The sequence below is a fragment of the Homo sapiens genome, chromosome 7 (genome assembly GCF_000001405.40).
Source record: "Homo sapiens chromosome 7, GRCh38.p14 Primary Assembly".
NCBI lineage: Eukaryota > Metazoa > Chordata > Mammalia > Primates > Hominidae > Homo > Homo sapiens.
In genome coordinates this window covers 42,879,711-42,895,910 of record NC_000007.14, presented here as the reverse complement: position 1 = coordinate 42,895,910, position 16,200 = coordinate 42,879,711, and the positions used below count along the sequence as shown (strand labels likewise).

The 16,200-nt window shown below is 42.6% G+C and overlaps 4 annotated features.

Annotated features, from left to right (window-relative positions):
• Positions 6,992-7,535: an enhancer, noted in NCBI's record as "H3K27ac-H3K4me1 hESC enhancer chr7:42927975-42928518 (GRCh37/hg19 assembly coordinates)". NCBI's record gives its function as "activates a minimal SCP1, AML or CMV promoter by ChIP-STARR-seq in naive H9 embryonic stem cells {active_cell/tissue: H9 hESC(naive)}" and the evidence as "EXISTENCE:reporter gene assay evidence [ECO:0000049][PMID:30033119]".
• Positions 7,347-7,396: an enhancer, noted in NCBI's record as "active region_25903". NCBI's record gives its function as "activates an Ori minimal core promoter by ATAC-STARR-seq in GM12878 lymphoblastoid cells {active_cell/tissue: GM12878}" and the evidence as "EXISTENCE:reporter gene assay evidence [ECO:0000049][PMID:35858748]".
• Positions 7,477-7,526: a silencer, noted in NCBI's record as "silent region_18121". NCBI's record gives its function as "represses an Ori minimal core promoter by ATAC-STARR-seq in GM12878 lymphoblastoid cells {active_cell/tissue: GM12878}" and the evidence as "EXISTENCE:reporter gene assay evidence [ECO:0000049][PMID:35858748]".
• Positions 11,337-12,139: an enhancer, noted in NCBI's record as "H3K27ac-H3K4me1 hESC enhancer chr7:42923371-42924173 (GRCh37/hg19 assembly coordinates)". NCBI's record gives its function as "activates a minimal SCP1, AML or CMV promoter by ChIP-STARR-seq in naive H9 embryonic stem cells {active_cell/tissue: H9 hESC(naive)}" and the evidence as "EXISTENCE:reporter gene assay evidence [ECO:0000049][PMID:30033119]".

The window sequence follows — 16,200 nt, the reverse complement described above, 5'->3', positions numbered from 1 at the left end:
TTTGAGAGAGTGCTTGATATAATTTCAATTTTCTTAATTTATTGAGGCTCATTTCATGGCCTATCATATGGTCTATCTTGGAGAAAGTTGCATGTGCTGTTGAATAGAATGTGTATTCTGTGGTAGTTGGATGAAATGTTCTGTATATACATGTTAAGTCCATTTGTTCCAAGGTATAGTTTAAATCCATTGTTTGTTTTTTGACTTTCTGTCTTCATGACCTGTCCAGTGCTGTCAGTGGAACATTGAAGTCTCCCACTATTATTTTGTTTCTATCTCATTTCTTAAGACCATTAGTAATTGTTTTATAAATTTGGGAGCTCCAGCGTTAGGTGCATATATGTTTAGGATTGTGATATTTTCCTGATGGAGAAGGTCTTTTACCATTATATGTTGTCCCTCTTTGTCTCTTTTAACTGCTGTTGCTTTAAAGTTTGTTTTATGTGATATAAGAATAGCTACCCCTGTTCACTTTTGGTGTCCATTTGCATGAAATGCCTTTCCCCATGCCTTTACTTTATGTGAGTCCTTATGTGTTAGATGAGTCTCCTGAAGGCAGCAGATGGTTGGTGAGTTCTTATCCATTCTGCTGTTTTGTATCTTTTAAGTAGAGCATTTAGGCCATTTACATTCAATGTTAGTACTGAAATGTGAGGTATTGTTGCTTTCATCATGCCCTTTTTGCCTGTGTACTTTGGTTTTTGTATGTTGTTTGTACTTTTTAACTTGTATTTTTGTTTTATAGGTCCTGTGTAATTTATGCTTTAAAGAGGTTCTGTTTGGATGTGCTGCCAGGATTTGTTTCAAGATTTAGAGCTCCTTTTAGCAGTTCTTGTAGTGGTGGCATGGTAATGGCAAATTCTCTCAGCATTTGTTTGTTTGACAATGACTGTATCTTTCCTTCATATATGATGCTTTAGTTTTGCTGGATACAAAATTCTTGGTTGATAATTGTTTTGTTTGAGGAGGCTGAAGATAAGGCCCCCAATCCCTTCTAGATTGTAGGGTTTCTTCTGAGAAATCTGCTGTTAATCTGGTAGGTTTTCCTTTATAGGTTACCTGGTGCTTCTGTCTCACAGCTCTTAAGATTCTTTCCTTCGTCTTAACTTTGAATAACCTGATGACAATGTTCCTCGGTGAAGATCTTTTTGTGATGAATTTCCCAGGTGTTCTTGCTCTTATTTGGCTGTCTAGATCTCTCACAATGCAGGGGAAGTTTTCCTCAATTCTTCCCCCAAATATGTTTTCCATGCTTTTAGAATTCTCTTCTTTCTCAGGTACACCGATTATTCTTAAGTTTGGTTGTTTAACATAGTCCCAGACTTCTTGGAGGCTTTGTTCATATTTTCTTATTCTTTTTTCTTTGTCTTTGTTGGATTGTGATATTGTATTTCTTTATTCTACTTGTTCAATTATATTGCTGAGACTTTCCAGAGCATTTCACATTTCTAAAAGTGTGGCCAGAGTTTCCTGAGTCTTTGATTGTTTTTTCTTTAAGCTACCTATTCCCATGAATATTTCTTCCTCTACTTTTTGTATCATTTTTTGGATTCCTTGCATTGGGTTTCACCTTTCTCTGGTCCCTCCCTGAATAGCTTAATAACTAACCTCCTGAATTCTTTCTCAGGTAAATCAGGGATTTCTTCTTGGTCTGGATCCATTGCTGGTGAACTACGGTGATTTTTTTGGGGGTATTGAAGAGCCTTGTTTTGTCATATTACCTGGGTGGTTTTCTGGTTCCTTCTCACTTGGGTTTCCTCTGTCAGAGGGAAGGTCTAGGGCTAAAGGCTGTTATTCAAATTATTTTGTTTCACGGGGTGTTCCCTTGATGTAGTACTCACCTCCTTTTCTTATGGATGTGGCTTACTGTGAGCGAAACTGCAGTGATTGTTGTCTCTCTTCTGGGTCTAGCCACCCAGTGAGTCTGCCTGGCTCCAGACTGGCACTGGGGGTTGTCTGCACAGAGTCCTGTGATGAGAACCATCTATCAGTCTCTCACCCGTGGATACCAGCACCTGTTCTGGTGGAGTTGGCAAAGAGTGCAATTGACTCCTTGAGGGTCCTTAGCTTTGGTGGTTTAGTGCTCTATTTTTGTGCTGGTTGGCCTTCTGCCAGGAGGTGGTGCTTTCCAGAAAGCGTTAGCTGTATGTAGTATTGTGGAGAGGGACCAGCGGTGGGTGTGGCCCTAGATCTCCCAAGATTATATGCCCTTTGTCTTCTGCTACCAGGGTGGGTAGGGAAGAACCATCAGGTGGGGGTGGGGCTAGGGGTGTCTGAGCTCAGACTCTCCTTGGGCCTGTCTTGCTGCAGCTGCTGTGGAGCTGTGTACCTAGGAGGATTATGGCTGCCTCTGCTGAGTCATGCAGGTTGTCAGGGAAGTGGGGGAAAGCCAGCAATGGCAGGCCTTTGCCGGCTCCCATGGAAACTGAAGGGCCAGTCTCACTCCCACCGTGCACCCCCCAACATCCTGAGTCCATGCACCCCCCTAACATCCTGAGTCCATTTCCAGGTGAAGGCAAGACTGGCTTGAAAATTTGCCCGAGGCTATCTGCCTCCCAGCTGTGAGAGAAAAGGACTTTAGTTCTTCCTGGCCTGTGAATTCTACATGCCCAATTTGTGCCCTCCCACTGAGTTCTGGCCAGGAGGCTTCTCCCCCATTCAAACTGTTACAAAGTTCGGGTAGAGAATTCCTTCTCCCTGTGGAGGTTTACCCCCCTGTTCCTCTGGCCAACCTCCCGATGGATCGCTGTGGTGCCAGGCAGGAATGGGCTGCCTGGGGACCCAGAGAGCTCCCAGGGCCTTTCTGCTGCTTCCTCTACCCCTGCACTTTGCTCAGCTCTCTAACCTGACTCAGCTCCAGGTAAAGTCAGAAACTTCTCCTGCAAACAGATCTTCAGCTTCTCCAGTGAGGATATGTATTTGGGAGAGGAGGGTCACCCTTTCCCACTTCCACAGTTGGGGCACTCACAGTATTTGGGGTGTCTCCCCCGGCTGCAGGAGCAGCCTACTTCCTTCAGAGGGTCTGTGGGTCCTCTTGGGATTGCTGGTTTTTACTTGCAGTTGATCTGGAGCTAAAATTCACAGCGCAAGCCTCCGCATGCTGCTCTGTCCAGAGCTGCAATCTAGTCCTTGGAGTTATTATATTTTAAATATGTCTCTTGTTTTATCGCACAGGTTTGAGTTTTGCTATGTGATCAAATTTGAAAATCATGATATTTAATTGGTCAGTTAAGTCCATATATGGCTTCAGGTTTCATTTTGAATGAAATCCACTGCAATTCACCTCTTGGTGCCTCAGCATCTTATTCAAAATTAAGGCAGTTGTGGTTGAGTGCTGGAGATTTCTCAAGAGTAAGGGGAGAGAGGGATCATAGTGGTGATGTTCGGAGATGCAGGGTGAGAGATTGTGGTGAAAACTGGAGGGGCTTAGTAGGAAAGATTTCAGGGAGTAGGTGGTCATCTCCCCAGGGAGCCACACGATTGACTGACATGGGGCTGGTGTCTCCTGGGAAAGGCAATAATCTTCATTCATTTTAGTAACCTGTATTATGAGTTCCCTTTAGGTATGGGAGTGTGGAGGTAGCAGAGAGTAAGAAGTATAGCAGGATCAGGTAGACAGTGAGTTCAGGAAGAAAAATAATAAATGTGCGTTTTCTGCTTTTGGAGAGGCAGTCTGTGAGTATCACTGGGGGGAGATTTTAGTGTCCAGAGTGAAGCCATGTCTGGCACAGGGAGCAAAGTCATCTCCAACGCTGAGGTCTTGAGTTGGGGCAGTGTCCTCCAGGAGGTGAGACTGAGATGTCTCAATGGGTAGGCACCTGAGTTGGTGCGGGCCTCAGCATTTGTCATAACTGGTTGAAACAATGATCTACTACTGGAGGGTTTGGGTGTCCAGTTGTAAACCAATGAAAGCACCCAAACTGATAGTAATAAGACCAACAATCAAAGAAATGGTGTGCAGCTGCACCTGACAGGGTTTTGTTTTGGGTGGACATTTAGGTTCAAATGGGTTTCATATAAGATGAGCAGCTGCCAGGCCTGTGGGACAATATATGGTTAATGAGTCCCAGGAGAGTCTATGTCCTTGATCTGACCTACAGACCTTAAGGGATGGGGACAAGATAAAAAAATTGTTAAAAAAAAGTAGGTTAAGGCCAGGGGCAAACTAGAGAACTTTAGTTTATTTGTGGTATTGAAGTTTGAAAAGGAGTTGTTTAAACCATCATGATGTCTCTTATTGAGACCAGTCATTTGGGACCTGTCATGGACATGAAAGTTCTATTGAATGTTCCTCAGGAGCCCAGCATGATGTGTTCTAAGAAGTGAATTGTGTGCCTTGGTTACTGTTAGTAACAGCCATGACTCTGAAGGGAATAAGGCATGGCTAGCACGGCCTTGCATTGTGGCCTCAACTCTAAGTGGAGAAGTATGATTCTAATTTATGTTTTGGGTGAGTGCGAAGTAAGAGATTCCCAGAGATTTTCTTTTTCTTTTTTTTTTTTTTATCCTTGAGGGGCCAATTTTTCAGTAATGGCCTAATAGTTTATAATAAACATGAAGACAGGACCAGTTGTTGACCAGGGTATCCAGTGCTAAGATGACCACCTGGAGTTTTGGCCACGTGCGTTGTATTTGGGCCCCATCCTTTATTAGGGACATCCTGGCTAAGGAATGGAAAGCAGCACATTCCACTAGGCTCCACCATGCACAGGGGCTGGCAGTGCCATTCACATAGTCTATGAACTCCCTTTACTGGTCACTCAGTTAATCCACAGGGCTTCCTAGTAGTCAAGGGGTTTAGGGGAGGGATGTCATCCTCCAGCACCCTGGCGTCTGGCAAGGGGCTTAGAACAGGGGAAGCTATACCCTCCTGTGGGTAGAATATACCAGAGGACCCAGGTTTGTTCCCATCTGTCTTAGGGAGCCTCAGTAGCTGTGTTGAGCTTGTGGGGTCTGTTTCCATGGCCCAAAGCATAATGGGCAGCTGGGTATAGAGGGTCACAGGCTCAGGGTCTGGGAGAGCCTCTATTTCTGGGACAGCCCAGTAAGTGGGGGCCAGTCATCTATTGTATTAATGCTGTATAGCATGAGGCCAACAGGGGCAATATCTCGTATCAGAAATCCTGGGGCAACTGATAGCTATCCTAAATATCCAGAGATTGCAGGAGGCATTTGAAAAGGTTGAGAAGACTCTACAGTAAAGGCTTTTTTTTTTTTTAAGAAGTCACTTACAGGAGTGTCTGTAGACTTTAATTTAGAAGTAAAATTTATAAATGAGGAATATGTTGCCACCAAAACCCAAAAGTACTAAGAAATATTGGTCTCGAATGTCATCAATGTATGTATTAAGTGAGTCTCCTTGGCTGAGAATGTCCTGGATGTACTCTCATACCAGTGCTCCTGGAGAAGGTGGATGTCGTTAAGATTAATTAAAGATTGCATGTGATGACACAGCTGCAGAGGTCTGAAAAGGTGTACTGTGTTCTTTTAGAGGAGGAGGCGAACTGCAGTGAAGACGCTATTGAAACAGCACGTTAGCCAAATCCACAAGAGCAAAATATTTACCAGTTGTTGATTGAACGGAATCAGCAATTTTAATAATATTAGGTATTGGATATAGGGGCCCTAATGAAAGGGCTGTTAAATGGGGAAGTGGGAATAATCACGCCTTTATTAATAGGTTTTTTAGAATTGGTTTTAATCCATTTCAACTTACTTTGGGCCATATTAACTATATTAACTGGGGGTACAAGGGGTTCCATTTTATTAAGTCAATTTGTAAGTGCCAAAGACTTACTTTAATTTTAATTTGTTATTTATTGTGTCAGAGCATCTCTGCCTAATATAGAATATCTTACAGCAATGGATATATAACTATGGGAAATTTAGGCCATGCTACAAATGAATATGCAAGGCATATTCATTTACAAAATATTATATTCAGTTACCTGCTCAAGATTACATGGGCAGAGTGTTTAAGTTTAGTGGAATTCCCCAGGTATAAATATAATTTGAGCCCCAATATTAAGTCCATGCATTTTTGTTAGTGCATTTTAACAAATTGTTAAAGTTAAATTAGAACTGACCTTGTAGAAGCACAAAGCCAGTACGTGTCCTTTTTAATCTTTTTGTTATGTAAATTCTTTGATATATAAATTGCTATATGCATTATGAACTTCTAACTATATCAAAAGATGCAAATATATCATATACACCATTTATCAACATATATTTATGTTAAAATATTATATATAACTTTTATTTAATTACCTTTTTCCCCCTCTGTATCTAGGGGTTTGTTTATAAATCAGTAAGTGATCTAGGGCTAGCATGTTTGCTAGACCTGGCAGCTGCTAAGTATTTAAAGTTTAAAGTTCATCTCTTTTTTTTTTTTTCTTGGACTTGTAATAGCATAAAGCAACAGTCTCTCTCTCTCTCTCTCTCTCTCTCTCTCTCTCTCTCTCTCTCCCTCCCTCTCCCTCTTCCTCTTTTCTTTCTTTTTTATTTTAGGCTTTAGTTGCTTGAAGGCATTCTTAGTCTCTGCCTCTGGTTGATAAGAGGAAAAGAGGGAGGAGGGAAGGGCACAGTGTCTCTAGGCAGCCAGCTCTCTACAACTTCCGTGATTGCAAGATCATCGGTCCCCTTTTTCCTTCCTTTTTTTGTTTTTTTTTTCTTTTAAGTATAATCTTTAGAACGGCTTGTATTTCTTGGTGGCTAAAATAAAATTTTTTCTTCCTTCATCTCTCTGGATGTTTACCTGACATGCTCCTGGTGGTAGGAGTAGCCTCCTGGTGTTCTGTCCTTACAGAATGTTACCCGAAAAAATTGGAGGGTGACCTCTGTGTCTGCTGGCCTTGCAGGCAGCGGCTTCCCTTTCCATGGTGACCCACCGGAGCTCTGGAGGTGGTGGGGAGCGAGGAGCGACAGCAGCAGGAACCGAACAGGGCGGCGCCTGCCTGGCAGCGTCACTCTTGCGGGGCCTGTGGGACGCAGGTGAAGTTACTCCCATTAGGGTTAGGGTTAGGCCATATGATCCTTTCACCCTGGCTCCGCTTCACGAGCACAGTGAAGCCCAGTGTGTCGCATCACCCTCTCTGACTGTGACTAAGGAGAAATCGCTGCTTCCCAAGAGCCTGCTGGCGGGTTCTCGGGAAGTAGCGCGCAGCCGTGCCCTTTGCCATGGACAGGCCCGCCCACCACCCAGGCCCCAGGTCACGCAACAGCGCACCCAGCTCCAGGGACAACGCATCCTCCAATGGAGGCCGGCGACAGAGGGTCCCCACAGTCCCAGGAGGGGGTCTGATTCTGCAAAGGGAACACATCCTCCTACCACTGGGACCTGCCCTCCGCGCCGCAGGCAAGGAGCCGGCTACAGCCGCTACAATTCCGGAGAGTCCCGGAGGCGACTCGGACGACAGCAGGACCTAGTAGCGCGCAGCGACGAGCAGCGAGATCCAGCGCCTGTAAGCAGCGCGCGGCCCCAGACCTGCTGGGCCAGCTGATACAGCAAGGTAGCAAGCCCTCTGCGGGGGACAGACACCGGGATGGTGTCCAAGCCGCGACTGCAATCCTGCAGACTAGGCTAATTGTTTGGAATGAAACTTTATCAGTTTAGCCCGGCAATTACTCTCCTCAACAGCTGAGAGGCCAGGATAAAAGAGCATCAGCATGGGATCTACCTGCTTGGGGCCCTTTGGGGCGGCGTCACACTCAGGGATTAGATTTCAGGCACTGCTTCAGTGACACAACCGCAGTGTGAAAGTTTAAGCGTTTTTGGTACTTACAGATCCTGGAGGGAGCGCGGGCGCGCGCGCGCGCACACACACACACACACACACACACACACACACACACACACCACACACCAAGGAGTACAGGCAGAGAGAGAGAGAGAGAGAGAGAGAGAGAGAGAGAGAAGGGACCCGTAGACCAATACCTTTATTGGGTTCAGAGTGTTATCCAAACAGGTTTAATTGTTGAATTTAAAGCAAGCAGGCACTGGTTCCAGGAGGTCCCCCTGACTGAGAGGCGGTCACGTTAAGTTTGCAGGCAAATGTCTGAATGGTTCCTTGAAATGAAGCAGTATCTCTGGCCACCAACTGGAGCCATTCCAGTGGGGAATAGTATTAGAAACGGTGTCAAGGCTGACTGAGCCCTGCTTCTGGTATGAGAAAGTTAAAACATATTTTAAGATGGATGCCAAGGCAACATAAAATTATAAGCTCTCACCACATGTTTATACCCAGTTCTGGCATTAAAAAATGCTTCATTTTTTTCAAAAAGAGTTATAAAAAACTTTTGCCATGTGTTCTGTTTTCTTAGTTTTTCTGTTCTGTTTTTTGCTTTTGATAATTGGAAATGTTTGAACTTTTGTATTAGTACTGACGTTTTTATAATACCCATTCTTCCTTCTTTCCTTTAGATAATATTGACTGGGTCTCTACTGTAAGCAAGAAGAATATAATTTGTTTTGCAAACTCCTCTTTCCTTCCTTTCTCTGCCATTCAATTTTAATGATTAGAATAATGCATATTCTCTTTCTTTACTTGCACTCTGTGCACCTAAATATATTTAAGCTTCTGCTTTTTTTTTTTGGTAGCTTGAAATGATGTCATTTGTTTCCCAACTTTTGTAAGTAAATCATTGAGCTAATTATGCTTTTCCCTCTCTTTCTTTTTTTAGGTTGTGCTTTTTTCTGACTTTGTCAGAGAACATGTTTCTATATCATCCTTTGATTCTTATCTTACCTTTGGTTTAGTCTTAGATCTTCAGTTAAATATATTAAACACTCACTATTAATCTTGTTTCACCAGTTTTCCCAGGTGTCAGGTTTCTTGAAAAAAGCTCATGGGTCAGCATCCCCTGAGTTCCAGCATGTTCAAAACTGTTTCTCCATAGCTTGGATATGTGAAGGAATCTTGCTTGGTTATAGAAGCCTCACTTCACACTTTCCTTGCTTTCTTGTAAATGTTCCTCCATTTTGTTCTCTTTGACTCATTTTACTTTTTAAAAAATTGTGCTATTTTAAAATACCAGTCATAAAGCCAGCTAGCTATTACAGAGATATGTGTACTTTATCACAAATTTAATTTAATTTCTTATTATTATATATATATTTTTTTGAGACAGGGTCTCACTCCGTGGCCCAGGCTGTAGTTCATTGGTGCTGGTTCCAGGAGGGCTCACTGCAGCCTATAACTCCCAGACTCAAGTGAAACCCCCACCTCAGCCTCCTGAGTAGCTAGGACTACAGGCATGTGCCACCACACCCAGCTAATTTTTTGTATTTGTAGTAGAGAAGGGGTTTCACCATGTTGCCCAGGCTGGTCTCTAATTCCTGGGCTCAAGTGATCTGCCTGCCTTGGACTCCCAAAGTGCTGGGATTACAGGCATGAGCCACCGTGTCTGGCTCACAAATTTTATATAAAATGACTTCCTATTACCTTTAGATGAGAAGGAAAAAACACATAGCCTGTGGTTCCCTCAAAACTCTAACATGTAACTTTTAGTGGGGAAAATAAGGTACTTTTGCTAGTTATCCACAAGGGGGAAGACTGATTCCATTTCTTCTGGAAGGTATCCATTGGGCCATCATTACTGATCATTTATTTTTATTTTTATAGATTTAGAGAGTACATGTGCAGTTGTGTTACATGGATATATTGTGTAGTGGTGAAGTCTGGGCTTTAGTGTTCTATAAATTACAATAATTTGTTAAGATATCTTTTGCGGTCTATTTTTCATACATGTGCTGTCTCTTTACCATATGTAGATTCAGAACTTTTTTTTTTCCTCAGGAAAGTTTTCTTGATTATAGTTTTACAATTAGTCCTAGTCTATTATTTGGTTTTTCTTCTTCAGGTTCTCTAATGATACTTGTGTTCGATTGTGCTTGTATCCTGTTCTTTCTGCTTCCATTTTCTTGGTTTTTATTATTTCTATCTGTTATGTCTCTTACTGTATTTTTTGTCTTCCTGTTCTCCCTTGGCTACCTAGTAATGCAGTTTTTGTTTCTAAGATTTGTCTTTTTCTCAAGTTCTTAATTATGTCAGTTTTTATTTTTATTTTTATTATTTTTTTAAGACAGAGTCTCGCACTGTCACCTGGGCTAGAGTGCAATGGCACGATCTTGGCTCACTGCAACCTCCACCTCCTGGGTTCAAGTGATTCTCCTGCCTCAGCCTCCCAAGTAGCTGGGATTACAGGCACCTGCCACCACACCTGGCTAATTTTTTGTATTTTTAATAGAGATGGGGTTTCACCATGTTGGCCAGGCTGGTCTCGACTCCTGACCTCAGGTGATCCACCCGCCTCAGCCTCTCAAAGTGCTAGGATTACAGGCGTGAGCCACTGTGCCCGCCTTTTTTGTTTTTTTGAGACGAGTGCAATGGCTCCATTTCAGCTCACTGCAACCTCAACCTCCCGTGTTCAAATGATTCTCCTGCCTCAGCCTCACGAGTAGCTGAGATTAGAGGTGTGCGTCACCACACCTGGCTAATTTTTGTATTTTTGGTAGAGACGGGGTTTATCTATGTTGGCCAGGCTAGTCTCAAACTCCTGACCTCAAGTGATCCTCCCACCTTGGCTTCCCAAAGTGCTGGGATTACAGGCATGAACCACCATGCTCGGCTTGTCAGTTCTTATTTCACTGTTTGATCATCTGTTTTCTGAGTTGTGATTTTTGTATTTGTGGTATTATTTAATATCTTCAATTGCTTATTTAATTATTCCTAATAAGACCCCCTCCCAGATATAACCAGTATTCTGACCTCTAGTACCCTAGATAAGTCTTATCTATTTTGAGCTTCCCATAAATGGAGAATACATTATGTATTCTTTTGTTTCTGATTATTTTCCTCAATATTTTATCTGGAAGATTCATTAATATCATTGCATGCAGTAGTAGTTCATAATCTTTCATTTTTCTGTAGTACTCTATTGTATGACTACAAACTCTAATTCAAGTATTGATAGAAATTTGAGTTGTAGTCAATCTTTGGCTATTATGAATAAAGTTTTTATGAGTATCATTTTACATCTCTGTTATTTTACATGTCTTTTGTGGAACATATGCACTCATTCCTAGAGGTGGAATTGTTGATCATGGGGTAGATGCATGTTTAGTTTTATAAAATACTCTGAAACATTTTTCTAAAGCATTGTACATATTGACACTATTTTGAATTTGAAGTGTTATCTCATTGTAATTTTTAATTTGTAATTCTCTGCTGACTAATGATATTGAGTATCTTTCCTGTTTATTTTGGATTTTAATATCCTTTTTAGTGAAGTTCAAATGTTTTACTTATCATTTAACTGGGTTGTCTGTGTCTCCTTATTAATTTGTAGAAATTCTGTATATATGCTAGATATAAGTCGTTTGTAAGAGATATATATATATAGTATATATTGTATATGTAGTATATATTTTATATATATATACATATATTGCAAGTATCTTCTCTCCATTCTGTAGTTTTCTTTTTCACTGTCTTGTATCTTTTCATGAGCAAGTGTTCTGTTAATGATGTCCAATTCTTTTACTTTTTTTAATTTAAATTTTAATTTTTTTAAGACAGGGTCTCACTTCATCCCCTAGGCTGGAGTGCAGTGGTGCAATCATGACTCAATGCAGCCTCATAGTCTTCCTGGCTTAAGCAGTCCTTCCACCTGAGCCTCCTGAGTAGCTGGTGATGGCAGCAGTGGCCTGCCTGAAGCAGCCACTGCCAAGAATCTAGCTGCAGTGGGGGAGGTGTGGCTGGGCTGCATGCTCCACAGAGCCAGCGGAAGCCAAGAACGCACCCTCCTGGGTACAGCTGCAGCCGCCCAGCCGTGGCTGCGGACCCGGGCCTCCCTGTGCTCTTGGGGGTTGGGAGCAGGCAGGAGCCCTGCCATCCTGGACACAGCTGCAGCCATTCAGCCACAGTTACAGACCTGGGCCTCCCTGTGCTCTGGGGGGCCCAGGAAGGCCTCCCTGCCCCCACAGACTCAGAGGCATCTGCTCCCACTGCCTGGCTTCTCCCCACTCCTGGCACCTGCTCCGATCTCGGAGTGAGGTTGGGGCCAAGACCGGGTGCTGTCACACATGGCAAGGTGTGTGCACACTTGGGGCAGCACTGACACATGCCAGCCGTCTGGTACCTTGGCCCCCTGTGGACTTTGGGTGCTGATGAGCATGGGAGGGAGACTGAGGGGGTGTGAGGGCAACTCAGCGCTGGCCTGCAGGTGCCCCTCAGCATGAACAGCCTAGGCGCTATGAATGGCAGCAGGAGGCAGACAGGCTCCTGGGTGGAAATGGGCAAGACCTCGGTGAAACCCCACCTTCAAACTGCAGAGTGTCTGAAGCCTGGGGCCAGGCTGCCGGTCCCATGGACCGAAGTGGGAACTTGTGGTGCTTTTTCTGGGCCCACCCATGGCCACCCATGGACAAATTGGATGCATTTCCTCCCCTCTAAGGCCTAAAATGGCCCCAGACTCAGCCAGACTCGAGGGGACAATGACCTGCCAGCTGTGGAGAGGAGCTGCCCACTCCAGGGTCTCCTCTCTGCTGAGAGCTGGGAAGACAACACAACAATCAGCTGTGGAGAGGAGCTACCTACTCCATGGTCTCATCTCTGCTGAGAGCTGAACACTCACTGGGACACCCTGCCTGCAGAGAAGAGCTACCCATTGCAGGTCTCCTCTGAGCTGTTTTATCACTCAATAAAGCTCCTCTTTGCCTTGCTCACCTTCCACTTGTCTGTGTACCTCATTCTTCCTGGATACAGGATAAGAACTCAAGTCCTGCTGAATGGTGGGGCTAAAAAAGCTGTAACACAAACAGGGCTGAAATGCCCCTGACTCGCCACTTTGCAGGCGACAAGGAGAGAAGACAAAATGATAGAAGAGCTGCAGCCCTTTGGGGAGCACAGACCTAGGAGATCCCCAAGCCAGGGCTGTGACACCCTCTTTCAGGCTCTGTGGTTCCTGGCATCTCCAAGCTTCCAGGTGCCACCATGTTTCCCAGTGCCAGCCACGGAAGCTGCTTGTGGTACACCTGGTCCAGCCACAGCCTAACAGGGAGCTGGCACCTGTGCCAGTGCCTGGAGCTGCCCACCCCACTGCAGCTGGTATGCCTGTCTGTGCACAGTGGCTGGACTGAGTGCTCGCTCACACACCCTTTGCTGCTCTGTGCCTGGCTTGCTTTTGGCAGGCATGGGATCCAGGCTGGTAGTTATAGCTGAGTACAGCCTGCCAGGCCGAGTGGGCAGAATGAGCCCAGCAAGTCCAAGCAAAACTCAGGCAAAGGTGCCACTGGCTACAGAGATTTCTGGATGGCAAAGCAATACCTCAAAAGTCCCATGACACTAGGACTACAGGCAGGCCACCACACTCAGCTAATTTTTAGCTGAATTTTTAGTCTCCCTGTGTTGCCCAGGCTGGTCTCAAACTCCTAGGCTCAAATGATCTTCCTGCCTCAGCCTCCCAAAGTGCTGGGATTACAGGTATGAGCCACCATGCTTGGCCTGTTTTACTTTCTTAATAGTAGTTCTGTAATAACCTGATAGGTTCTTCCTGCCTGCTGCACAAACAACGTCAATCCACTGAGACCATGACATTGCAGTAAAGAAAGGGTTTAATTAACCCTTGGCTGGCCATGCCACATGGGAGACAGTTATTACTCAAATTAATCTCTCCAGAAATTTGTAGACTAGGGTTTTCCAAGGAGAATTTGTTGGGCAAGGGTATCCAGAAGGGGACATCCTGATTAGTTGAGGATGCAATCATAGGGGTGTGGAAAATGATCCTTGTGTGCTGAGGCTGTTTCTGAGTGGGGGCTACTAGAGGAGTCCAGGTCCAATGTCCAGGTCCAAGTGGAATCATCTGGTTGTCAGAAATGCAAAAGCCTTAAAAGACATCTCAAAAGGTCAATCTTAGGTTCTACAAGAGTGATGCTATCTGCAGGAGTAATTGGGGAAGTTGCAAATCTTGGGACCTCCAGAATAATGACTAGTAAGTATTTAACTATGCCTACATCTAGCAGAATTCAGACCCCTTTCATCCTCCTAACTTGGTGGCCTTTCATTAGTTTTACAAAGAAAGTTTAGTTTTTGGGAAGGGCTGTTATTATTTAAACTGTAAACTAAATTTCTCCCATAGTAAGCTTGGTCTATACCCGTGAATGAATGAAGACAGCCAGCCTGTGAGGCTAGAAGCAAGATGAACTCAGCCATATTGGATTTCTTTTATTGTCATAGTTTTGCAAAGGCAGTTTCAGTTTTGGTGTCATGTTTGAGAAATAGTTGCCTCTTCTAAGCTCATGAAGATATTGTCCTATATTTCTTATAGAAACTTGATTTTCTCAGCTTTCCTAAAGTAGGGGGCCAAGGTTTCTTGTTTTTGTTTTCCATGTACCTTTTCCCACTGAATTGCAGTGGAGTTCCCTCTCTCCCCATTAGGGTGTGGGAGACTTGTGGGTCTGTTTCTGGACTCCTCTTCCTATTGGATTGGTCTGCTCCATATTCTAGTACCAGTACTGCACTGTCTTAATTTCTGTAGTTTTCTAATAGGCTTTATATCTCATGGTTTAAAATATATGAGCTTTGTTCTACTTCCTTACGTCCTTGGACATTCTAGGCTCTCTGCATTTCCGTATGAATTTTAGAAACAGCTTGTCTGCTTTGAGGGAGCCTAGCCAATGGGGGAAAAAGAGAAGAATCGGCTTGTTAGTTTCTACCCCCCCACCCCGCCCAACCCCCAACACAACAACAGAAAACCAAGGGAGTTTTAGTGGGATTACATTGAATTGCATTGAATCTATAGACCAATTCTGGGAGAACTGACATCTTAACAACATTGAGTTTTCCAGTCAAGGAACAGACACATCCTGTTTACTTAAGTATTTCAAACATTTTCTTATTAATGTTTTGCAGTTTTTTGTATAAAAGTCTTACACATTTCTCATTAGATTTATTTATAAGTGATTTATGTTTTGATGTTATGGCAAATGGTAATTTATATTTTCTACTTGTTTGTTGCCTTTATATAGAAATACCACCAACTTTTGTATAGTGCCCTTGATAAATTCTTTTACTAATAGTCTGTTTCTAGGTTTATTTGAATCTTACTAGCTTTTCTCATTTGTTTTGTTAATGTGATTAATCACATTCACTTTTAAATGTTAAACTAGCCTTTTATTCCTGGAATAAACTACCCTTGTTCGAGATGTATTACTTTTTTAAATATGTGCTTGCATTTTATTTACTTAAGTTTTCTCATGTGTTCATGAAATATATTAGCTTGTGGTTTCCTTTTTTAAAATAATGCACTCATAGGTTTAGAAATAAAAATTCCGATGATCTCATAAAATGTGTTGAAATGTATTTCTTTTTATTCTCTCTGTCTTTAAGAGTTTGGATAAGATTGGTTTTAGTTTTTTCATAAATGTGAAGGAGAATTCACTAATAAAGCCATCTCACAGTTTTCTTTGTGGGAAGTTTTTTTTTTTTTTGTAAATTAAAAACAACTATTATTATTACAAATTCAATATCATTCACATCTTTCATTTCATCCTGTGCCAGTGATGGTATATTGGAATTTTGAGGATTTTTTTTCTCCATGTAATCTAATGTTTTGACACAAAATTTTTTAAATTTATGGGCATGAAGTTTTTCATAATGTCTTTTTATTATCTTTTTAATATTTCTAAGGTCTATGTGATTTCTCCTTGTCTATGCCTGATACTGATAAATTGAATTTTCTCATTTTTCTTCCCTTGATTAGTCTACCTAGGGACTTATTAATTTTAGTAAATTTATCTAAGAAGCAACTTTGACTACATTGACTTCTTATGTTATACCTTATTGATTTCTGCTATTATATTTATTATTTACTTCTCTTATCCTTGGGTTTAATTAACTGTTCTTTTCCTCGTTTATTGAGATGGAGGCTTAACTTAGTGATTTTCAATCTTTTCCTTTCACCTAATATATGCATTTGAAGCTATTAATATTCCCCAAAGCACCTTTTGGTGTATACAACAAGTTTGGTTTATTGTCTTTTCTTTATCTTTCAGCTCAAAATAGTTTCTATTTTTTCATTGTGATTTCTTCTTTAACTCATGGGTAATTTGAAATGTGTTGCTTTTCTAGCTTCTATTTATCTTTCTCTTACTGAGCACTCAATTCCATAGTGGCGACAGAACATGCAATATATGATCTA